This window comes from Homo sapiens, chromosome 11, assembly GCF_000001405.40.
Source record: "Homo sapiens chromosome 11, GRCh38.p14 Primary Assembly".
Classification (NCBI taxonomy): domain Eukaryota; kingdom Metazoa; phylum Chordata; class Mammalia; order Primates; family Hominidae; genus Homo; species Homo sapiens.
In genome coordinates, this window is record NC_000011.10 from 33,848,710 (window position 1) to 33,873,491 (window position 24,782).

At 45.7% G+C, this 24,782-nt stretch overlaps 1 protein-coding gene across 7 annotated transcripts in view, besides 5 other annotated features; it reads right to left on the bottom strand.

Annotated features, from left to right (window-relative positions):
- Positions 9,270 to 9,443: a silencer, noted in NCBI's record as "fragment chr11:33879525-33879698 (GRCh37/hg19 assembly coordinates)". NCBI's record gives its function as "represses an EF-1alpha promoter that drives an FKBP-Casp9 reporter gene in an ReSE screen in K562 erythroleukemia cells {active_cell/tissue: K562}" and the evidence as "EXISTENCE:reporter gene assay evidence [ECO:0000049][PMID:32094911]".
- The window catches only part of LMO2 (LIM domain only 2), a 33,501-nt gene continuing 18,585 nt past the window's right edge, over positions 9,867 to 24,782 (bottom strand). For 3 of the 7 annotated variants that reach the window (XM_017017733.2, XM_047426946.1, XM_047426945.1), the window contains 3 exons: positions 20,637 to 20,877; positions 15,893 to 16,108; positions 9,867 to 10,866 (listed from right to left, as the gene is read on the bottom strand). In XM_017017733.2, the coding sequence (XP_016873222.1) occupies positions 10,647 to 10,866; positions 15,893 to 16,108; positions 20,637 to 20,677 (477 nt within the window). In that variant the 5' untranslated portion in view covers positions 20,678 to 20,877 and the 3' untranslated portion in view covers positions 9,867 to 10,646. Of the gene's footprint in view, positions 10,867 to 15,892; positions 16,109 to 20,636; positions 21,279 to 24,782 lie in introns of those variants that run through there. The other 4 variants (NM_005574.4, XM_047426944.1, NM_001142315.2 and 1 more) reach the window with 3 other exon arrangements.
- Positions 20,454 to 20,533: a silencer, noted in NCBI's record as "silent region_3245". NCBI's record gives its function as "represses an Ori minimal core promoter by ATAC-STARR-seq in GM12878 lymphoblastoid cells {active_cell/tissue: GM12878}" and the evidence as "EXISTENCE:reporter gene assay evidence [ECO:0000049][PMID:35858748]".
- Positions 20,724 to 20,803: a silencer, noted in NCBI's record as "silent region_3246". NCBI's record gives its function as "represses an Ori minimal core promoter by ATAC-STARR-seq in GM12878 lymphoblastoid cells {active_cell/tissue: GM12878}" and the evidence as "EXISTENCE:reporter gene assay evidence [ECO:0000049][PMID:35858748]".
- Positions 20,824 to 21,243: a silencer, noted in NCBI's record as "silent region_3247". NCBI's record gives its function as "represses an Ori minimal core promoter by ATAC-STARR-seq in GM12878 lymphoblastoid cells {active_cell/tissue: GM12878}" and the evidence as "EXISTENCE:reporter gene assay evidence [ECO:0000049][PMID:35858748]".
- Positions 21,674 to 21,913: a silencer, noted in NCBI's record as "silent region_3248". NCBI's record gives its function as "represses an Ori minimal core promoter by ATAC-STARR-seq in GM12878 lymphoblastoid cells {active_cell/tissue: GM12878}" and the evidence as "EXISTENCE:reporter gene assay evidence [ECO:0000049][PMID:35858748]".

The window sequence follows — 24,782 nt, forward strand, 5'->3', positions numbered from 1 at the left end:
GTTAGAATAAAATCTGAGCTCATCTTCAGCCTTGTAAGATCCTACATGATTTGGTCTCATGTATCACCTTTCCTCCAGCTACTTTGGACTTCTTGATGTTCTTTAAGCTCGACAAGTGGGTTCTTGACTTAAGACTTTCACTTGCCTGTTTCTTCTGTTTCTGAATGTATGACTGAATCTTTCCTGACATTCGGTCCTAGCTCAAAGCCACTGCCTCACAAAGGCTTTCCCTGACCACGCCCTCCCTCCTCTAAAACGACATCTCTCTGCATCTCTTGACATTCTATCGCATTGCTCTATTTTATCCTAATTCATTGATCACTTTCTGAAATAAATTTGTTCATTTACTTGTGTATTTATTTATTTTGTTTCCTCCCACTAGAATGTAAGTGCTGTGGTAACAGGGACCTTGCTATCTTGCTCACCACTGTATTTCCATTGCCAAGAACAGTGCCTGGCCTTTTGGAAACGCTCAATACATATTTATTGAATGCATGCATGCATGAATGCCAGCAACTGTTCTCATTGCTTCATGTAGACTACCCATAACTTTTACAATGATATGCTAATGTAAGTATATTATCTTCATTTACAAATGAGAAGACTAACTAGAACCACATCCATTTGTCTCCAAAGATGACTCTTATACATTTACACTCCCTCCCATTTTGTTAGGTAACATTAAATGCAATGAAAACATTTATTGTTGGCAAATGCTTTTAACACTTGGTTTACATTGGCTATATTAATATTTTTGTTTTACACAGGGTCTTACTATGTCATCCAGGCTGTAATGTAGTGACACAATCTTGGCTCACTGCAGCCTTGACCTCTCAGGCTTAAGCTATCTTCCCACCTCAGCCTCCCCTCCCCCCAGTCCCTCAAGTAGCTGGGACCACAGGTGTGTGCCACCAGGCCCGGCTAATTATTTTATTTTATTTTTTGTTTATTTATTTTTTTTTTTTTTTGAGACGGAGTCTTTCTCTGTTGCCCAGGCTGGAGTTCAGTGGCACAATCTCAGCTCACTGCAACCTCTGCTGCCGGAGTTCAAGCGAATCTCCTGCCTCAGCCTCCTGAGTAACTGGGATTACAGGCATGTGCCACTATGCCTGGCTAATTTTTGTATTTTTAGTAGAGACAGGGTTTCAGCATCCTGGCCAGGCTGGTCTTGGACTCTTGACCTCGTGATCCACCCCTCTCGGCCACCCAAAGCGCTGGGATTATAGGCATGAGCCACCGCACCCAGCCCTTGTTTTATTTTTTATAGAGACAGGGTTCTTGCTATGTTTCCCAGGCTCATCTTGAACTCTTGGGCTCAAGCAATCCCTCCACCTCAGCCTCCCAAAGTGCTGGAATTACAGGCATGAGCCAGCGCACCTGGCCTAGGATTTGAATTCTGTCTCTTTTTCCTTAAAATAAGTGAGAAAGTAATTTCCAGCAGTCTGAAAATATATATATGTTATTTGGTTCTATAAAATTAAGTTTTGGGAGATAAACAAATTAATGAAGCTAGAGGCAATATAGTCTAGAATGAGATGACCTCGATGAATTAAAGTCTTGACTTTATCCCAAGCTTCAGTTTCCTCTTCTGTAAAATTAAGATAGAAATATTTGCTGTGTAGAGTTGGTGTAAAGACCATAAAATACTTAGGATAGTGCATCTACCTGGCAAATGCTCAATAAAAGTCATGTTTAATAACATTAATGGTGATAATGCTGCCAAGAATTAGAATTTTATTGCTAGAAAACTGTAAGAGACAAGTTATTCACTCAGTGAGAGGATGGGCTGGATAATTTCAAAAACTTTTTCAGCCTTCATCTAAGATTGTATTATTCTGATCAGCGCTTTTCGAACTCTGGAGTTTTTAACTTTCAATCTACCATGGATTGACACTTTTGTACAATATAATAAAAAGTGGATGACTGGGAAAATAAGAATTTAAAAATGCATACAAAATAAAAGCTTATTGTATAACAAATTGCCCCAAAACTCAGTGGCTTAAAACAACAATTATTTATCTTGTATCACTTCTGTAGGGCAGAAATTGAAGAACAGCTTGGTTGACTGATTCCAGCTTGGGGGTTTCTCACGAGGTTATATTCAAGATATAAGCTGGGACTGCAGTTGTCTGAGGCTTTGACTGGGCCAGAGGCTCTGCTTTCAAGGTGGCTCATTTATAAGATGGGCAGATGAGTGCTGGCTGGTGGCAGGAGGCCTCAGTTCCTCTTCACCACATGGAGCTCCATGTAGAGCTGTCTGAACAGCTTCAAGGCATGACAGCTGTTTTTTTGTTTTTGTTTTTGTTTTTGTTTTTTTTTCTCCAGAACAAGTGATCCAAGAGACAGCAAGGTGGAAGCAACAGTCTGGATCTAGCCTCAGAAGTCACATTCCATCATTTCAATATCCTATTGGTTAGACAAGTTAGCCCTATTCCATGTGAATGGAGACAACACAGGAGGTGAAGCCAGGAAACAAGAATCACTAGGGTCACCTTGGGGAGTGGCTACCACAAATGCTTCCTCCCAAATTCCATACTTACCTGTCTGTAAACCAAAGTCTGACTACCAAATTCCTAGAGATCATCTACTGTAAGCTCCTCAGTTTGCAAATGAGGAAACTGAGACCTACCTAAAGACACTCCACTAATTAGTGGCAAAATCAGGTTTCCTGATTTCAGTGTTCTTTCAATCACATCACATAGGCTATTTTACCTACTATATATCTATTTTGCCTGGGATGTAGTTACGGGGGGCATTTGCCTTGAGCTGCTCATTAAGTGATTTGAATGAATGGGGTGGGGTGGGGAGGCTGACACAGAGATACGGCTGTGGGTTTGCTGAGGCTCACAACAAAGCCATCTTTAAAGTGGTCATCAAATAGGATAATTCAGTGAGCCCAGTTCAAAAGCATCACAATGTGACAATGGAAATTGACTTGATTTAGCTTCAAAGATTCTATTAACTCGGAGAAATGATTTTCCGGGAGAATTAATACATGGCCACTGGTAGAGAATGGATGTGACTTCTTCATTGCTTTGAAACATCTTTTAACTCAATTCTTAGATGTACATACAAAACATTATAGCTTAGATTCCTACCCCTATAATATACACATTTCAGGGCCAGATGATTACATCTTGATCCTAATTACAAAGGAAATGCAGAATTTCTGGTAATCTCATTTTATAAGGTTGAGAAATAACCTGCTTCAGAAATAAGCACTAAGTGAACCCTTCTAAACACATTCTTCCCATTATGGGGAGTGGGTGTGGAGAGGGGAATTACTTGCTTGAGGTACATTTGTAAGGTCAAAAGTACATTAAAGTTGTGACAAATGAACAGTAGTACATTACTGAATTCTACACTATATTTTTTCCTCTCTTTATCTGCCTTGTTCTTCTCCTAATCAAACCAAAAAGCCCAAAACAAGAAAAAGCCGAGATTTGTGAGTTAAAAAAAAATACCTTTTTATTTGGAAATAGTTTCAAACTTACAGAAAAGTTGCAAGAATAAAAATAGTGTACCAGTACATCCTTTACCTAGACTCACCTGTTGTTAATATGTTCATCTCATTTGCTTTATCATTTCTCCTCTCTCCTCTCTCTCTCTCTCCCTCTCTTGAAACACACACACACACACATACACACACACACACACAGAGACAACTTTTTTCTCAACTATTTAAGTTACATATATAATGGCTCTTTGATGCAGGAGTTTTTCTCCACCCCTTCATCAGACTTGCGATAGGCGTGCCCTGTTCACTCGGCCCGCCATGCTCAAGCTCTTCTTGCGAGGAACGCGTGGGTGAACAAGTGCAGGATCTGGCCGGCTGCTTTGGGCAGCGGCAAGAGTAGGCTCCCTGCAGGCCCTGCAGCAGTGCCCAGGTGGGAATGCCTGTGACCCCCAAAGCCCCAGAGGGCATGTTACAATGCTCTCTTAGCTCCGGTGTCTGTGGACAGTGGTGTGTTGTCAGCTCAGTGGGCCTCTCGCCTCATCGCATGGGGAGGCTGCCCTCCACCAGTGAGGGCAAAGGGCCAGTGTGACAGCCTTTTTTGGGTACCATCACTCAGTGGGTCCCGAGCTCTTGTTCAGCATCCAAGAAGAATGAGGTCGCACAGATACTTGAAGGATGGTGGAGGTGGAGAATTGTATTTATTGATGGAGATGGCTCTCAGTGGAGAGGGGAGCTGGAGAGGGGACGGGACAAGCAGATAATCTTCCCTGAGATCTGGCGTTCTCCAGCCGGCTCTTCTCTGAAGTTAATCTCTCCTCTGAAGTCCAGCTCTCCCTCTGAAGTCAAGTCGCCTCTCTCCAGTCAAGCTGCTTCTCTCCTCTACCGACTGAGTCTGGGGTCTATATAGGCACAGGATGGCGGGGGGTGGAGTGGGCCATAGGTAGTTTTAGAGAAGGCAACATTGGATTGGTAAAAAGACATTAATCAGAAAGAATCAATGGGGAGAGAGTGGGCAAACAGGGATAGAAGTTCTCACTTTGGGCAGAGGGTTGCAGGGTTTTTGGCTGGAAGGTGGGGTTTTGCCAGGGACCCACCCCTGTCTGCCTAGAATTTCTCTTCTTCCTGCCTCTATCACTTTACTCCTAAATATTTCAGGGTGCATTTCCTAATAATAGGGACATTCTCTTACATAAACACAGTACAATTACCAATTTCAGTAACATTTACATTAACACCTAATACTTTTTAACTAATCTATCCGTTCATATTCTGACTTTATCACTTGACCCAATGATGCCCTTTGTAGAATTTGTTCCCTCCAGCACTGGACTGAGTACAGGGGCCAGGTGCTGGATTTAGCTGTCAGGTCTCCTTAGCCTTCTTTAACCTGAAACATTCCCACAGCCTTCTTTATTATTCATGACATGAACATTTTCAAAGAATACAGTCCACACTCCCCCCCATCAACTTTTAAAACTAGAATGTTCATCATTTTGGGTTTGTCTAATGATTTGTCTCATAATTAGACATGTTATATATTCTCAGCAGAACTACTAAAAAGAGTGATCCTCTCTGTCCTTTTCAGATATCACATCTGGAGGCCTGAGATGCTCATCTGCCCCACATAGATCACCTGGTCAAGGTGCTATCCAATTTCTCTACTGTGTAATTAGCGTTTTTCCTTCTCATAGCTAGTGAGGAATATATGGGAAGGTACTTGAAGACCATCCAAATATCCATATCTTGTTCTTTGTTTCTCTGTTGAAATTTAGCATCTATTGATAATGCTTGCTTGATTCTATCTTAACTGTCACAGTTGCAAAATGATTTTTCCAGCTCTCATGCTGTCTTCCCATTTACCAGTTGGCATCCAAGATTCTGCTGTAAACACGAGTCCTTCCTTCTCCCTCATTTATTTATCACTGGAATAAACTCATGAATTCTGCCCCCTGCCATGCTTAAAACTCATTACTATCCTTAATTCGTTACTGTCCTTAATTGTTTTGATAATCAAATTGTCTTAGATTTGGCTATTGAGAGCCCCTTTAAGCTGGCTCCTTTGTCTTTATGACATGTTTACATCATTTTTTTCATTTCATTTCATTTATTTATTTAGTTTTTACTATTTCCTTACTTTCTGGAATAACAAGATGTTGCAGACTTATCTTCTATCTTCCTTGCCCCTTCCCTGCAAATTCCTGGGTTTTACTTCCTACTTTGATGTTGATTTACCATTTATTCTTAAAATTATAGAAAACCTCATCTCCCCTATTTATTTACTTACTGGCCCTCTCTCTTAGCTACTCATGCCATAAATATTTGTTCCTGCTTTTCCACATGCATGACATTGGCCTAAATGCTGTGAGCGATGATAAAGAACTTAAAGGCTAGTTTCAGAAAAGGCCTTCTTCTCAAATCAAGTTTTAAAGTAGAGAATAGGTGGGGCGCAGCGGCTCATGCCTGTAATCCCAGCACTTTGGGAGGTCGAGGTGGGCGGATCACCTGAGGTCAGAAGTTCGAGACCAGCCTGGTGAAACCCTGTCTTTACAAAAATTAACCTAGTGTGGTGGTGCATGCCTGTCATCCCAGCTAGTCGGGAGGCTGAGGCAGAAGAATCTCTTGAACCCAGGAGGTGGAGGTTGCAGTGAGCCAAGATCATGCCACTGCACTCCAGGCTGGGCCACAGACTGAGACTCCATCTCAAAAAAAAAAAAAGAAAGAAAGAAAGAAAGAAAAAAGCAGAGAACAAAGTTTTAAATAAAACAAAGAAAATATAACAATCAGGCTGGGCATGGTGGCTCAAACCTGTAATCCCAACACTTTGGGAGACTGAGGCAAGAGGATTGCTTGAGCCCAGGAGTTCAAAACCAGCCTGGGAGACAGAGCAAGACCCTGTCTCTAAAAAAAAAAAAAAAAAGAGGAGGAAAGAAAGGGAGAAAGAGAGAGGGAAGGGAAGGGGGGGAAGGAAGAGAAGGAAAGGAAGAAAAGGGAAGGAAGGAGGAAGAACGGAAGGAGGAAGGAACAAAGGAAGGAAGGAAATATATTGGGCACTATGTGCCAGGCAGGTGCTACAGTCTGGCAAGGGTAAACCAGAGACAGTGTCCCTGATTTTGTGGAACTCAGGGTTCAGGGTTTAGCAGCAATGTTCTATTGAAGTCAGGGGACAACAAAGGAAGAGGAGTTGCTTGATGAATGTGTAGATTCCTGGGTCCCATCCAAGAGATCCTGATTCTGTAGATTTGCAGTTTGGTCCAGGAGCCAGCATATTAATAGTTTATCCTATTAATTAGAAGATTTCTAGTACTTGAGAATGATTGGATGAGCAGCTGTAAATTGGAGAGATTGAGGGGGCTACCTGGAAGAGGCGGGGCTTGAGCTGAGGGTCCAAGGTCAAGTCACAGGTCAGCAATGTCCACAGGGCCCAGATCTTGTAGAAACTGGCAATTAAGGGCACCCCACCAGAAAGTGACAGCATCAAAATTTAAACCCTTCACTGGCTGGCCTCCAGCCAACACCCATACACAAACTGGGCTCACTGAAATACTCATGCTGCAAGTCAAGGTCCCCAAGTCTTTGCTCTTCCAGGTCCAAGGCCATTTCAAATGTCTCTTTCTCTTTACTCCAGACAGATATGCTTGGGCCAATTTAATTGTTCCCTTATCTGCGTTTCCAGAGCACTTTTTACATTGCTTTATTGTGGTGCTAATCCTATATCATTGTGCTTTGTTTACATTTCTGCCTAAACTCAAATATCCCCAAATAATCTGGGACGGAAGGTGTTCATTCTCCCTCTTTTGCAGATGGGAAACCTGCTGTTCAGTGAGGTGAGACTTCGAGAGAGCAGCAGGGCACAGGGTGAAGCGCCTTGGTTAAAGCGACTGCTGTCACTTCTCAGCTGCAGGACCTTAGGAAGTTAGTTACTTAACCATCTGTGCTTCATTTTCCTTGGCAGCACAATGCAGGTGATAAGAAGTAGAAACTGCCACCGAGGCAGGTTATGTGGCCTCAAGGAGTTAATGTATGTAAAACTAGAAGAGTGCCTGGCAAATGGTAAGTGCTATGTAAATGGTTATTAAGCAATTAAAGTCATGTCCACTGGAATTCAAATCCAAGTCTTCAGATGATAAATCTCCTAGATGCTTGTTCTATTTTAACTTTGTAGGACTCCAAGTTTTCCTGAAAAGTAGTAGTTATTTTAGAAGCAGCAATAAAAGGAAGCTGGTTTGGGGCAAAAGACATTCAAGAGATAAGAGGATGCAAAATGTTCCAGCCAACTGCTTTAATGAAGGCACGGACCAGGGAAGAGAGCAGATGTCAGTTCTCCTGACCCTAGGTCTAGAGCACACACAGTAACACATTCATGCAAGGACCACCAGGGTAGACCTTGGGAGCTGGTCCCACTGAGTCCCTTTACATGTCTTTCCTCTTAAGTCAGTTGTGGGTTAGATATTTGGGCCCCTGGGGTGACGTGCTACAAAGACTGCCTGCGCATCCACAATTCTGCAAGATGGTGCCATTGACAAATGGAAAAGGTTAATTATTGCTTTGTTGAGCATGACAAAAATATTGGCTGATTTCTTGAATCTTAATGTGTGTTGTGCTACAATGGGGATTAAGAATAAAGTTTAGATTTCCAAAGCAATGATCATTTGTATTTTTACTTAATACTGCTTATAAGATAATTGCATAGATAAAATCTATTACCATTACTATTATTACTGTAAATATGGTTTAAAATGGTGAATTAAATTGTGATTGATTTTGAAGATGATGTGCAGAACAAATGAGTGATGAATGTATGTGAAAGTTTTCAGTTTAGGAACCAAGGGTAGACAGTATCTACATGTGGAAGAGTTTCAGTGATTAACCTTTGCATCAAATATTAATAACTTAGAATGCTTGATCTTCCTAACTGGGAGATATTTTAGAATAGCCATTCTCAAACTTGAGCATGCGTCAGAATCATCTTTAAGGCATATTAAAACACAGGTGGGGCACGGTGGCTCATGTCTATAACCCAACACTTTGGGAGGCCAATGCAGGTGGATTACTTGAGTCCAGGAGTTCAAGACCAGCCTGAGCAACATGGGGAAACCCAATCTCTACCAAAAAGATAAAAATTAGCTGGGCGTGGTGGTGTGAGCCTGTAGTCTCAGCTACTACAGAGGCTGAGGTGGGAGGATTGCTTGAGCCCAAGAAGTCAAGGCTGCAGCGAGCCAGGATCATAACACTGCACTCCAGCCTGGGGGACAGAGAGAGATCTTGTCTCAAAACAAAGAAACAAACAAACAACCCACAAATTGCTGAACCCCATCCCCAGATTTTCTGATTTAGGGTATCTGGGGTGGGGCCCATGAATCTGTTTCTTTATTATAATAAGTTACCAGGTGATGTTGATTCTGCTGGTCCCCAGAGAGTTTGAGAACCACTGACTTAGAACAAACATCCCCTCGCTGGTAATGCCTTTCCATCACCTGAGCTGGAATGCAATGTAACTGGATTTGTTTTAAATAGGCCACCTTAAGCAGTCAAATTTCCCAACTACTTGTAGCATTTTACAGACCAAGAGAGCCATCACTTCATTATTTCTCCTCTAGAAGAAAAAAAATCATTTGTCTCTCTGTCCAGGGATTTAAAAAAATTAAAAATAACAAAGATCACAAACCTTAGGAAGATTTAAAGGAATCTTATAGTTAACATGCAGCCTTAGCTGCATGTTTCTTGTGTCTTAATAACTGAACACATTTAGACTTCTTGCATTTCCGAGTACTCTAAGGAAATCATTGAAAAGCATATTCTTCTTCATCTAGGTTTGTCCTACGTCGGGACCCTCCTGGGCTAGCGCGCTTTAAGGTGATGGCCAGAAGGTGGCGCTCTGCATCAGTTCATGGGGGCGGCCTGACTCCGGGGAAGGCAAACACACAAACCAAGGTGCCTGCTTTAAATCCGCAAAGTAAAGGTCCTCTTAACCACTTGTCATAAAACACCCTGAGACACCCGTCTTGGAAAATCGAAGTGTCAAGCTCAGCATCTTTGCCACATTTCAAACTAGGTAATTACCTTCTCTCCCAAAGGGAATCTGCTTTATGTATTTGTGTCCTTTCTAGGTTACAAGTTTCCCAAAGGCAATGATCTTGCCTTCCACTCACTCCATACAATGCTGAAGTGAAATGCATATTGTACAATAACAATTTAATTATTCTACATTCCTCTGAGCTACATGATGACCTGTTACATAATTGCCAGTAATATAGAAATGTGCCTGCCTCATACAAACCCTTGCAATACACAGAAGTTTTTATTTGACCTAAGAGTAAATTGCTTATTTGCTTCTCCTTTAGAAAAGAAAAAGCAGAGCATTTCCCCGCCATCCCAAATTATAAGTCGTAATCAAATAAACAACACTGTATTTCAGTCTGTCATTTTTATTAAGCCTGCAGAGCTGTTTTTTTTTCTACACACGACAAATACTTTGATATAATCTAGGATAATAAAATAGTTGAACAACTTTTTAAGATTTATATTTGTATAGAAACAATCTGTGGAACTCCTCCCCTCAAAATGAAGGTGTCTAAAAACAGTGATTCATCAGCATTGCTTTAAATAATTGTTTGGTTAAAAGTTGTGGTTTCCATTCTCAACCGAAATGCGTCTCCATGCAGTTTTCCTTGGGTCCAAAGCTTAAGGCCTTGGGAAGGGGGCCAAGAAAAAAAGAATGGCCACTCTCCTTTCTGTCCTTCCCTTGTGTGGAGGACAGTGATTGAAACAGGGGAGTTAAAAAGCCAGGAAGAAAAGAAATCAATTGCACATCTCTAGTTCGCAAGCGTCAAAGTCACAACAAGTCTGTACACAACAACTCTCTATCTGTAGATATGAAATTCCATCATGATAGCACAGCGCCTGCTTGCCCCTAAATGTTCCTTTCTTCTGCTAATCATGTCAGTTACTATGGATGGGCTGTGGCCATAAGTTCTCCCTCAAGGGCTGGTCCTTCTGTCACCTTGAAGTGTCAGCCCCTGAATTATGCCACTTGGATGCTATGTCTTGATACCCAATAAAGGTCTACCATCCCCTAAGAAATCCCTTACCCCACCCTCAAACCCCCAAAGTGCCTAAGAGTGAAGACGAAGATGCCATGGAGACGGCGTCTTCAGTGAACACCTCCCCAAAGATGCCCGGGGACTCGGGCCTATATCATCCCATTGATCTTAGTCCACTCGTAGATGTCCTGTTCGCACACTATGTCAGAGTTGATGAGGAGGTATCTGTCACCTACACAGAAATGCTTCTGACAGGCGGCGCATTTGAAACATTCCAGGTGATACACTTTGTCTTTCACCCGCATTGTCATCTCATAGGCACGAATCCGCTTGTCACAGGATGCGCAGAGACCGTCTTGCCCAAAAAGCCTGGGGCAAAAGAAAGAAAAGCTAAGAAGACAGTGAAAGGGACAATCCTGGAAGACAGGGCTCGGGGATGAGCCCTAGAAAGGAGGCCGAACTTTCAGGATGTCAGGAAGCCAGGGAAGGTCGGCTCCAGAAGGAGGGCCGGCTAGTGCAGTCTTCACCAGCAGGCAGAGGGAACTCAGATGAAACTGGCATTTGGATCTGGCATAACTCCTCCCTTTTCTGAGCCCTCTCCTTGTCTGCAGCAACCGCTCATCATTCCCCTAGGCTGCCCCCTGGCTCCTCCTCTGTGGGCAAGGCTCTCAGCTGATGTGATCTATCATAAGGAGTTAGGCAAGTATTACCTGTCCCCTCCCAGGGGAACCCTCATTTCAGAAGAGCAGCTGGAGAGAGACCCTAGGGGCCCCTTTGAGAGGGTACTGACCAGGAATGCAATAAAACGGGCATTCTTCTGAGGCTCCCAAACTCTATCATGTCAACAGCCACTGATTCTACCCATGGGGAGAGCTGGCCTTGAATACCTCCATAAGCTGCAAAGCACATCTCCCCCTGATTATTCGCTGGGGCCCCAGCTGCTGGGAGACAGGGAGTTCCACAGAAAACACGCGGTGCAGCTAATCGTGCCTCTGAGATATGGAGGACCAACAGCATCTCTCCACCATGAAGGGAGGATCTTAATTCATGGCCCTCGCTGCCCACTGGCATGAATCAAAAGGGAAACTTCTTTTCTGACATTTAAATCAAGACTCTCCCAAGCCTCAGTTGATCAGTCACTTATTTCAGGCAGTATTCAGTGTCAAGGTGGGAGACAGAACATGGCAGGGCTCAGTGCAGTGGTTCTCAAAGTGTTGGTCCTGGGACCAGCGACATCAGCACTGCCTGGGAACCTGACAGAAATACAAATTCTCAGGCTGGGCGCAGTGGCTCACACCTGTAATCCCAACACTTTGGGAGGCTGAGGCAGGCAAATCACTTGAGCTCACAAGTTCGAGACCACCCTGGGCAACATGGTGAAACTGTGTCTTTACAAAAAATACAAAAATTAGCCGGGTGCGGTGGTGCATGCCTCTAGTCTCAGCTATTAATACTTGGGAGGCTGAGGTGGGAGGATGGCTTTAGCCCGGGAGGTGGAGGTTGCAGTGAGCCGAGATCATGCCACTGCACTCCAGCCTGGGCCACAGAGCCATACCTTGACTCAAAAGAAAAGCAAAAACTAAACAAACAAACAAAAAAACAAATTCTCAGCCCTCCTCCTTCCCTACCCAACTGAGACACCCTGGGGAGAAGGCCCAGCAGTCTGTGCGTTAATGAACACTTCCGGGGGACTGGTTGCAGGCTGACATTTGAGAATCAACAGCAAAAGTGCAGTAACACAAGTACCGGAAGCAGAGAAGACCCAGCTTCAATGTCCCGGACCAGCCCTGAGTGACCCTGGAGAGACCTCTGATTCTCTGAGCCTCAGTGAAATGGCAGCCATCATAGGCTCCACCTCACTCAGCTGTTAAAACAACCAAACGAAGCATGTCAGGGCACCCATGGTCAAGGGCTAAGCCAACGCTGGTTATGTTTTAACACATCTTGGGTGTATTCCCAGCTGTGCCAGTCTTGCTGCAGGAAGTAATTTTCACTCGTGGCTGAAAACATAGCATGTTAGCAGGTGGTTTCTACATAAAACCTTTAGGACAGTTTTAGGTGAATGCTTGCTCTTATTGGAAGTTCTGGTTGATTTCAGGATATCAGAGAATCAGTGGGTACATTCTGAGAGGTTGTAGGGGACCTAAGGGCAGTTGACACATTTTGCAATATTTGGGCGAGATTAATGGAATTGACAAGAGGTGGTCTGTGAGTGGAGAGCTCATTGTTCGGGCCAGGGCCAGCTAATTTGCCTCTGAATCCTGCTTTCCATTTGAAGATCTCTGAGTGTTTTCAAAGCACCGCCTGGGAGCAAACTCATTACTGGGGGGAGAACATTTTATCCCAACGTAGCAGATGGTGGAGCTGCAGGTAACCGCCACATTGGAGGTCACAGAGTGGAAAGACAGTTCTGGTTTCCTGACTGCTCTGTAAGTTAAGTTTGGGCCTGAGCAAGGATGAACGACTGAGAAAACAGTGTGCATGGAATGAATCCAACTGCCTGGGGTGTGCGATCCTTAAGGAAGGAGGGAGCTTATTAAAGGGAAGTCAGGGGGTAAATTACAACCCACATCAGGCAGCTATGAAGGGAAGGACAAAGGACGAATATGTGGGAGACAAGTTCAGGTCCCAGCATGACCTCTAACTTGCCAGGTGACCTGAGCAAATGGAGTCCCCTGTACAGGCTTCTGTGACTTAAGCCATAAAGCAAGGGAACTGAAAAAGAAGGTCTCTGTAGCCCCTTCCAGCTCTGGGATTCGGAGATTCTAATATTAGTAAAAAATAAGCCGGGACTTGACACCTAACTTGAGCATTAACCTCTGGCACCAAGAATTGGTATCTTAGGCTGGATATCCCAGAAGCAGCCCCTGAGGCAAGGATTGATGTGCCAGTGATTTATGAATGAGGCATTCTCAGGAAAAACCTGGAAGGCAGCAGGGGAGGCTGGAGGGAAGGGGAGGAAGCCAAGCCAAGTTGTATCCTCAGGCAAAGTCCCTCAGAGGGGAGGGACCCTGGAATATAAGTTATGCCTGGCTCCAGGCAAGGCTGCGGGGCTTGGTACTCCCACCATGTCTGTCACTGGTTAAGGTCCGTTGGGGGTCTAGTTGGGGCAGGCATACTTCTGGCTCTAACAGATTCAGGTGCTGGCTGTTAAAAGCAAAACCACTGCCATCACCGCCACCCCACCACTCCCAGCACACAAGAATTAGTGAAAAGGGATCCAAGGAGATCTGGCTCAGCACAGACATGAACAGCTGCTCTTGGGTTCCCAACAATACAACACAGCAGCAGAGTTGAGGTTCTGCATGGGGGTCTCATGAATGTTTGAAGCTAAATGTCGGAAAAGAACTGTAACAGGCAACTCAGCCATTGGAAATCCTCACGGGGACAAGTTATCCTAGGGGTGAAGAACTCAAACACATTAGAGGGCCCGTTCAGTTACTCCTCCAACTTGCCTTGTTAAAAGATCCTGCCAGATATACTAAGAATGCCAGTAAACAAGACCTTGGCTAAAGGACCATCCCTGACGCAAAAGACAATTTTTCTCCTCTGTCAAGAGATGTCCCATCTTAAGCTCTCTGCTGCCCATTTTAATAACAATAATATAAATATTAAAGAATGGCTGGAAATGCCTGCACTAATGCAGAGTTAATTAACATGTTGCCTAGGAATGTGGCAGGGAGAAGAATTATTTCATGTCACCAAGACACAAGTTAATTAACATTGGGTTCTCCCAGACTGTTTTTTTTTTCCTCTCCTTTTTGAAAATGGAAAGGATTAACAAGCCCAGGCAGCACTGGTTTTATTCCTGAATGTTATATAAAACGGTAGAGATAGGGAGAAGCTGGGGCTCTTCTGACCTTACTCTATCTGCACTTCAGTTAATAAGATTCAAATGATTTGACAGGGATGGAGTCAAGGGTCCGATGGGAATCATTTACCCGTCTGCCCTCTCACTGACTTGGCAAACTGGGAGTGAGCAAAACCAGGTCTGTATTTATCCAAGTTCTATTTTCTGTGACTTAAAAAAAAGAAAACTGACCAAAATTATAAGCATGATCATTGCAAAATCCTACTTATTTTCTCGGAACCACCATATCTGCAAGGACTGCAAGAACTTTATCTGGGAATTCAAGGACAAAAAGCTTCTTCTAACAGTCTTTAGGTAAAGCTTCCTTCACTGTGAAACTGCCTGCAGTTTTTTTGGTTTTGTTTTGTTTCTATAATGTAAAATGCTCTGAGGGCAGGTTTGGGAGGAAAAGCTGGCCCAGCAGCCAAGGGCGCTGAGGTCTCAACAAGCTTCCATGGGTTGGATGGTCCTGGTGTATCAGGGAAGCATGCTTCACAGACCCTCTGCTCCAGGAAAACGGAGAAATACTGACAGCTACACAGTTGAGCAGATCTGACAGTAGAGGGCACAGAGACAGTTACCTCCACAGCAGCTCATCGGAAACTAGAAACACTAGTACATTCTAGGCAAAGGCTTTCACACAGTGCTGGAAAATTCGGATGGCCAATAGGATGGCCCAGAGCATGGGAGATGTCCTCAGCTCCTGTCTTACTTGGTGTTGTCGAGTTCCTATTTTACTCTTCCATTCTTCCATCCCTTTGCTCATTAGATTGGAAAATAATGATTATGTAAGAGCAGCTAACATCTATTTGATCCATACCAAGCCAAGTAGTTTATCTGCATTATTCCATCAAATCCTCCCCACATCCTTAGAGGTAGGTGCTATTATCATCCCCATTTTACAGATAAGGAAATCGAGGCTTAGGAAGGTTAAATAACTTGCCCAAGGCCACCAAGCTGGGAAGCAATGGTATTGGGACTCAAACCTCCAACTGCCTACAGGGCCTTTGCCTTTCTGCTCTTCGAAGACTGCCTTCCTGCTATGAGTCAATGCTTGGAGCTCCATATGCTTTCTATTTTTAAATTTCTCATCATATAATACTGGAGTCATACAAAAAAAATTTATAACATACATATATGTTCTGAAGCATTCAAATGAGGTCCTCAGAGCCCACCTCCAAACTTAGAAACACTCCCAGTCCCTCTGATCCTCCGTGTGTACTCCTCCTCAATCCCATCCCCTAGCTTCTCCCGCTCCCCAAGGGAAGCACTTTTCTGAATTTTGGGTATACAATTCTCTTGCCTTTAAAGATATTAGTATTTTACCACATAGGAACGTAACCCTGAGAACATGCTTCTCAAACAGGAAGAAATGCCCTCTGCTTCTCAGCACAGGAGCTGAGACTCAGCCTCTGCAGTCTGACCTCTTTCTATAGGTGGTGTCCGAGCCTGGAGCAGGGTAAGGGGCAACACACACCGACTGCAGATGTCCATGGACCACCCAGCCTCCCTTCCGAGGGCCCAGTGGAGTGCCGGGGAGGGTACCTGAGATAGTCTCTCCGGCAGAGCTTCCGGCCCAGTTTGTAGTAGAGGCGCCGCCCCACCTCACCCAGCCGGCAGCCACAGAGGTCGCAGCTCAGGCAGTCCTCGTGCCAGTACTGGTCGATGGCCTTCAGGAAGTAGCGGTCCCCAATGTTCTGCTGGCAGCCGCCGCATGTCAGCAGGGATGGGGGGATCTGCAGCACCTCATCCACTGGTTCCCTGGAGAGAAGGCCAAGCATCAGGGACAGCCTCACCAGAGTGAGACCAGCACCGAGGGTCCGAGATCGTTTTGGGCCAGACAGGGCATCTCACCTGACTGCCTTTCAGTGACCTAAGGGAGAAGGGACAGGACAACACATCCCTTGGCCAGACTGCAGAGTCCCAACCAACCTTGGGTTAAGACGGGAAAGAGCCAGACCTTACTCCCTAGATGTCTAAGAAGTAAACACAGGGCACCAAGAGGCATCAAAGGCAATTGCAGGTGGCACTGTGCCCCTGCCCATGCCCAGCACTACCTGGGCACCTCTGGTCTCCTTCTGCTTTTTCCCACTCTCCCCGCTGACTCTATCTTCACAGATCTCCCTCATTTTCCTCCTCCCATAACCTGGACACCCAAGGGCACTGCCTAACCTCAAAGGACGCACTCTGGACTAAAAGAGTCGCTCACTGCCAGGGCAGCAGATGACCCAGAGTGCTAAGAATCTGCAAATCCCCAGTGCCATCCTCCCTCCAGCCCTAACCAACTGCACAAAAGCAGAGGTGAGGAAGAAAGAAGAATGAGACCAAAAATTATTTTAGGTTGCTTTCTCTTTCCAAAATCAAAATTCCATCAGGACATAATAGGAATTCTCCTAATTTTACTTTTTTACAGAAATTCCATTTTCCATTCTTCCTACTGAAGGAATACTTGGAGGAAAATCCCATATCGTAAGGCCATTGTTACACGAAGGACATCAAATAGGCCTTTCTTTCCTTACCTGAACATTTTTATAAGAGTAAAATTGATTTGGATAAAGTTGATTTGAGGAAGAAAATGAAGTGGGGGCAATGATTATTTCAAAGAGAGTGGAAGGCAATTAAACAGACACTGACATCTCAATCCAGCAATTGTTAATAGGCTGTGACACGTGTTCTTTCGTTAATACGCCATGCATAGCATCTCCTGTTCACTTTGCTTCACTGGAATCTGAATACATTTTTACATTTAAAAATAAATAACTTTGCTAAAAGAAAATAAAGGAGTGGAAGGAATTATTCTAGTGTCCCCCACATGGGACACAGCAAACACTTAATACGTGTTGATTTATAATAATTAGCAAGTGTTCTCTGGAACCTTACTTAAACACAAATCTATTTCTTAAAAATCTATTATGTTTCAAAAAACAGACCTTCTTCCATCTGTAAAATTCCCAAAGGGAGTTTCCTCCTGGGTACCCTGCAGGTATAAATCCATGTCTCCTATTTCTAACTGGTACTAACTTACCAGGCGACCTTGTGTCCTAATTGGTCTGTGCCCATAAAGCCCAGCAGCCATTATACTTGGGGACAGGAGGCTAGGTGGCTCAATGTCTATAACACTCTGACAACTTCAGGTGATCCCGTCATGTGAAGTATGAAGTGTTCCTTATGAATATTTAGGAGTGCTAAAGCCATGCCCACACTTTCTAGACACAGTGTAACAGCACTTCATGAGACTATCATCTTTGGAACAAGAAAATGGGAAGCTCAAGTTAGTTTATCTGGGGAAAAAAAATGGCCAGGTACAGTGGCTCACGCTTGTAATCCCAGCACTTTGGGAGGCCAAGGCAGGAGGATCACTTGAGCCCAGGAGTTTGAGGCCAGCCTGGGCAACGTGGCAAAATCCTGTTTCTACAAAACATATAAAAAATTGCCCAGGCTTGGTGGCATGAGCCAGTAGTCCCAGCTACCCAGGAGGCTGAGGTGGGAGGATCATCTGAGCCCAGGAAGTTGAGGCTGCAGTGAGCACTGCACTCTAGACTAGACAACACAGTGAGACCCTAGCTCAAAAAAATTCAAAACTATAGTTTTTTGTTTGTTTGTTTTGAGACACAGTTTCACTCTTATTGCCCAGGCTGGAGTGCAATGGCACAATCTCGGCTCACTGCAACCTCCACCTCCTGGGTTCAAGTGATTCTCCCGCTTCAGCCTCCCGAATAGCTGGGATTACAGGTGTCCACCACCAGGCCCAGCTAATTTTTTTTATTTTAAGTAGAGACGAGGTTTCATTCACTGAAGCCTTGCTTTCTTTCCTTTGTTTCTACAGATTGTATATAAGGACTGCCATTTCCCCTTCTAATAACTAATACCCTAGCTTTTTCATGTGTATCAACTCAGAGTTGCATCTCTTCTCTTTCCACAGCCCATGGTCTTACTCTGGGCTTTCAAAACCACTCATGGAACCTGGACGCACATTGGATGTCCCGATGTTGATGCTGCCAAAGGACTGTGAAAGAAGAGAATTTGCCCTTAGCTGGTGCAAAACTGCCTGGAATTCAAATGAACTGCTCTTGTTACTCACAGGGGAGGCAGTGGGGGCCACCAGTAGCACAGCAAGGGAATCTGTGTTCATGAATTCTGGCTGGCTTTCTGTCCAAATGTTTCATTTGCATATAGCTAGGCAAGTCTCCATCTGTAATTTGGAGATGCTGATTGTAATGACCCAAGCTGGATTTGAGGAAGTACACAATGAAGCATCTAGTAGGATACTGGACAACAGGAGGAATGTAAAGTAAAAGAGTTACGGTGATGGCCTGAGATGAGATGGAGAAGTAAAGTATAAGATATTGGCTCTGTCTTTCTATACTTAATTAATGATAATATCACATTATACTTAGTGGACAATCCAAGACAATGACTGAATTAGATTGATTCACCCTCAAATTAATATTTTATATTCTCCCAGACCCTTATCTTGAATATTACACCTGAGTATCATTTAAGCCTGGATTTCTGGGACAATCATAACAATTTCTAAGGGCATGGGGAGAATGTGCTGCAGCAATTTCTCAACTGGCTTGTCCCTCTTTGATCAGAATCTGTCTTCGTTGGGCAAATAGTGAAGTGAAGGAAGGAGCTGGTGAGCCTCCAGCAGTAGATATCTGTTGTATTAGGAAGTTAGGATGTTTCAGTTTCTAACCTCAGTGAAAAAGCACAAACTTTGAAAGAAGCAAACTTCCTTCAGGGAAATGAAACCTTCAGATTAATCTTCTATTGAAAGGATTAGTGACTAAATTCTGCTGATCAAAAAGGCATGAGGCACCAATTCATCCAATTCACTCCCTTATTGTGTTACTATGATCTTGCCCAGTCTCTGAAACTCAGAGCTCAGTTTTAAGTTTATTTTAAAAAAGTGATCAAACCACCCTTTAAACCCATTGTTTGCATAAACATACTTTTAAAAAGGAATGTTATTTTTCTCCTGAGAATTTGTTGAAGGAAGTGGGGGTTTTTGTTATAACAAACCTAGCTCATTACAGAACTGGTGTCTTAACCTTCAAGACTGAATAGTGATGTTTATATTCTCATTGGATGGTGGTACTTCCTGTGTTTTATGAGAATATGTTGAGCTTTTATGCTGGTAACTGAGGGTAAAACCCAGGTAAATAAACACCATAGAAAGCCGAAATTGAAGGGTGTATGTGTGTGTGTGCGGTATTTCAAGCAGGAAAGCACAATTCTTTTAAAGCAGGAAAAGAAAAAACAAAACAAATGTCTCTTAAAAGCACAAATGGACAAGTCATTAACCAGCTCCTTTGGTCTTGTGTAACAAATCCCTTCAAAGGATTAGAGGGGGACTTCAAAGGAATAAAAATTCTCAAAACCAGACAGCTAATGACTCTTAAAAGGGCATTTGCGTTGACAGGAAAATGATATCTTAAACACCCCTTACTCCCCATGTTAACGCTGAAGAATGGGTGAGGGATAGAAAAACATTCCAAACCAGTACGCGGCTCAGAAAACAGATGCGGCCAATGCTCATTAGAGCTCTGGTTCCCTGACCCCAAACCCTTTTAAGACTCTGCTAAAAACTACGAGACTCTACTCCCCAGAATAATTCACCTATACACAAAATGGTGCATTAACTTTCGAGGTTCACATGTCCCCATCGGTGGACCCCGAGGAGGGGTACACCTACTCAGATTTACTCCGGATTTCGCTGCTCTAGAAATCCCTGGAGGCCCAGAGCCAGCTCCGAGGTGGACGGTCGGACCCCTCACCCGCCCGTTATCCGCAAGGCTGGCAGCGGCTCCACCTGCGGACCGGGAAGGCGGCCGTTGGGGACCCCGGAGGCCGCCACTTGGAATGTTCCCCTTTCCAAGACCAAATGGACAAAGAGAAAGGACCGAGAAGGAGAGGGAAGAAGGGAGCAGAGTCAAGCCCAGAACGCTCTCCGGACTGCACCTGCGCGCCTCCAGGCTCTCCTCGTGCCTGCTCCCGTGCAAACTTTCTGGCCCGTGGTGGCTTTGGGGAGCGTCCCAGTAGCCTGGAGTGGCCCGCAGAGGCGCCGGGCCGACCCCTGTCCCTGCCGCCCGCCGCCCAGTCCCTCTCCCAGAGCCCCCGGAATCACCCGGGAGGAAGGAGGAGCCCAGCGCTCGGCACAGGGGGCCAAGGGCACGCCGCGAGCGCGCACCTGGAGCCCCCTCGCGGGCCGCCCGGGTCCCCCCGACGCTCCGGGACGCGAGGCCGTGGACACCGGGGGTGGCAGGGGCAGGGGGGCCGCACTTACTCTGAAGGGTCCAGGCTCTTCCTTTCGATGGCCGAGGACATTGGGGAGGGAGGCGGGGTGCCGGGCGGCGGGGGCGCTCCCTTTGTGGCGCGGGGCTGGCCGGCTGCCGGGGCTCGGACCCCCTCGGGTGCTCGGGCGCCGCCGCCGCCGCCGCCGTCGCCGCCGCTCCTGCGCCTCCGCTTGCTCCGGCGCTCCGCCGGCGAGCTCGCCCCTCCGCGCTCAAGGACAGTCACCGCGCTCCCTTCAAACGCCAAAGAGAGAGAGCGAATCACCGGGCTGCGGGCGCGCCGCGGCCGAGGCGGGGGCCGGGGCGCGCAGCCTGGCTCCAGGCGGCTGCAGCTGCTGCTGCTGCTCAGGACTTAACCTTCCATCCCGGTCCCGCCGCCGCCACCGCCCGGTCCCTCTCGCGCGCTGTCGCCGGCTCCGCGCCGCCCGCGGGGATGGTGTGCGCCCGCCCGGCCGCCCGGAGCCCCTCGCACCTTCGGCCCGGGTCGCGGCGCGCTGCTCGCCGCCGAGGGCAGAGAGGGGGCGGCGGCCTAGGGGCGGGGAGGGGACCGTGCGTCTCTCTCCGGGCTTCCTCCTCTCTCGGGAAGGTCTATTTTCGCTCAGCTTCCCTCTGTCTCTGGTTTCATTTCCTTTTTCCTGATCACGATTCAAATACAATAGAAGGAAATCACATTTAAAGAGACAGCTGCCCGGTCCCCCCACCTCCCCTTTTTTCTTCCTTTTTTTTTTTTTTTTTTTAAACGGGGCTCCTGGGGATTAGCAATACAAACAGCAGCATCAGGACTGACTTGGCTTCTTAAAGGGGCCAGTGTCGGGGACGGGGAGAGCCGCTCAGCGAACACCTCTCCTTGGAAAGGAGGCTGGGCAACCACTAAATCATTCTTCAGGGCTTCCCCTCTTCCGCCTTTCCCTTTTGGTTTAACTAAGGCAGAAAGTAACCCACGAACAGCTCGAGCAAGCAAGAAAAGACAAGAATGTGAAATAAGCACCTACAGAAATGCAAGTGTTCCCAGTGGATTTTCCGCCCGTCCCAGGTTCGAGGTCCCAGGTCCACGGACGCCGTGCACTGGGATGCCCCGGACAGCGCGGCTCTGCGGGCTGCGGGCTACGGGCTGCGGGCCCCAGGCTGCGGGCTCCGGGCTGCGGGCTCCGGGCTGCGGCCGCGCTCTGCAGAGGCGATGGTGGTGCGCCAGCCGGGACTGCACGGGCTGGGGACGCCTAGAGCAGAGCCAGGGCAGCTAATCCCAGAGGGAGGGTGGCTGGGAGGGACCACGCGGGGCCGGGGCTCCTCTCAGTCGGCTGGTGGCGGAATCCCCTCCCTCTGCACCTTTCAGAAAGCGGACTCCTGCGGTTAAACTGCCCCCCATGTAAAGTGCCAGTAGTATCCCGACCAGAGAAAGTGCTTTTTCAATGGTCAAGAACAGGATCAGAGAGATTATTTTGCCCTGGGTCAGGCACAGAGAAAGAAGGCGGACTTGATTTGGGGGTTCAGGCTTCCCCCTCTCAGCCTCCTTCTAGAAAGAGGCAGGAACGCAGAGGGGAAGCGGGGGAGGCTAGTAGTTTGCCCTTCCGTGGAGAAAAACTTAGGCTCTCCTGGGCCTCAGAGTTCCTTGAAAATATCTGCGTTCAGAAGCTGAAAGGCCTATTTGTGCGTGATGCCAGTCATTAAGGCTTGTAAAGAGGGAACGTACTTTCAGGATCCATGGTTTTATATGATCAGTCTGGATCATAGGCATACATTTCTGTTCCCATTTTAAGGATAACCAGAGTTTACTACTGCCTGCATGCTCTTGTCATTTTCTGGTCCCTGTGTCCCAAGGCTTGGGTCCCTAATGGGTATAATCAAAAGCTGTGTGTGTGTGTGTGTGTGTGTGTGTGTGTGTGTGTGTGTCCCAAAGGAAGCCTTAAGAGCAAATTTTTGTCCTAGTGGAGACTTCAGTATACAAAAAGACTTTTTCGGCTGTGCTCGGTGGCTCATGCTTGTGATCCCAGCACTTTGGGAGACCCAGGCTAGCCTGAGCAACACAGTGAGACCCCGTTTCTACAAAAAATAAAAAATAAAAATAATTAGCTGGGCGTGGTGGTGCTTGCCTGAAATCCTAGCTACTCGGGAGGCGGAGGTGGGAGGATTGCTTGAGCCCAGGAGGTTGAGGCTGCAGTGAGCCATGATCGCACCATTGCCCCCCAGTCTGGGGAACAGAGTGAGACCCTGTCTCAAAAAAAAAAAAAAAAAAAAAAGTTGGGTTTTTTTTTTTCCGATAGACCCTTGTTTTTAATTTAAAAAAGAAAATACTTAGAATTTAGGCAAGCCTAAACTATGTGATAAATATGTAACCTACCACACTACTTTCATTTCTAACAGAAATGAAAATAAATATATAGGTTGTGATGAACAGTTTACCTACTTATAACCAGTCAATGTGGTGGTTAAACGCTGGAATTTTGGAACCCAACTGCCTGGGTTTGATTTAGACTCTTACTTATCAGTTAGCATGTCCTAGGAAAATTATTTAATCTGAGGAGGCAGTATGCGGTAGTAGCTCTGGAGTCAGACTACCTGGATTCTAACCCATCCTTGACCAGCTGTGTCAACCTGGGCTCACAGCAGGAATTTAAACTCCCAGTATCCTGGCCGGGCTCGGTGGCCCACACCTGTAATCCCAGCACTTTGAGAGGCCGAGGCGATCCCAGCACTTTGAGAGGCCGAGGCGGGTGGATCACTTGAGGTCAGGAGTTCATGACCAGCCTGCCCAACATGGTGAAACCCCATCTCTACTAAAAATACAAAAATTAGCCAGGTGTGGTGGCACATGCCTGTAACCCCAGCTACTCGGGAGGCTGAGGCAGGAGAATCACTTGAACCCAGGAGGCAGAGGTTGCAGTGAGCAGAGATCGCGCCATTGCACTCCAGCCTGGGTGACAGAGTGAGACTCCGTCTCAAAATAAATAAACAAACAAACAAATAAACTCCCAGTATCCTCATCTGTAAAATGGAGACGACAGAACCTATTGCCTAAGTTATTGTGGGGATTATATGAGTTAGTGCACAAAAGGGTGGCACATAGATTTGTAATGGCATGGGGGTAATAACAGATATGAAGTTGCTTGCATGAAAAGCAACTGGTATATAGTAAGCACTCATAAATGGCAGCTGCTATGTTATAGTAAAGGGCATCATTAAGATAATTTTAAAAGAGCTTGAAATTAAATTTAAAGGTGAAATGGGGGTTTAAAATAAGAATTGCCCACCCAAATTTGGAAACTATTTCCTGTTTTTTAAAAGCAGGAAACAGGATTCCTTCACCTCACCCCCTTCTTCTCCTAAATAAAACATGTAAGTGTTTTCCATTTTAACGTTCATTATCGTGGTGACTAAATGACCTGTTTGCATCTGCTTGGGTGTTATTTGTTTGTTTGTTTGTTTTTTGAGATGGAGTCTCGCTCTGATACCCAGGCTGGAGTGCAATGGTGCGATCTCAGCTCACTGCAACCTCTGCCTCCTGGGTTCAAGCGATTTTCCCTGCCTCAGCCTCCCGAGTAGCTGGGATTACAGGCGCTCGCCACCACGCCTAGCTAATTTTTTGTATTTTTAGTAGAGACGGGGTTTCACCATGTTGGCCAGGCTGGTCTGAAACTCCTGACCTCAGGCGGTCCATCTGCCTCAGCCTCCCACAGTGCTGGGATTGCAGGCATGAGCCACCGCGCCTGGCCACATCTGCTTGTTTTTATTTAATCTGATAAATTATTACTTTCCTTGTCACAGTTTTGCATGGGGCTCAAGTCAGTTTTTAAATTAAATATATCCTTGGGTTCCAAGAGGTAACCTCAGAACAGCCAAATTCAGGGCATAACGTTTCTTTTTAATAATATGCTTCTACTTTGACCTGAGTGTGTAAAGAAAAAGAGATTACTGCATATGACTTTGGGTCAGTTTCTTATCTTTCACAACTCTTTGGGGAGAACTTCCTTAGAGAAGGTGAATATTTGAAATGGTATCTTAAGATTTCAATTTCACACACAGTGGTTGTAAGAAATAACTGCCTACCGGTGGGATTTCATTCCTATTCAACGGGCAATTAAATTGCTCAAATTTAAGTTTAACATTTAGAATCAAGTCTCAAAATGTGTTTTTATTATGAA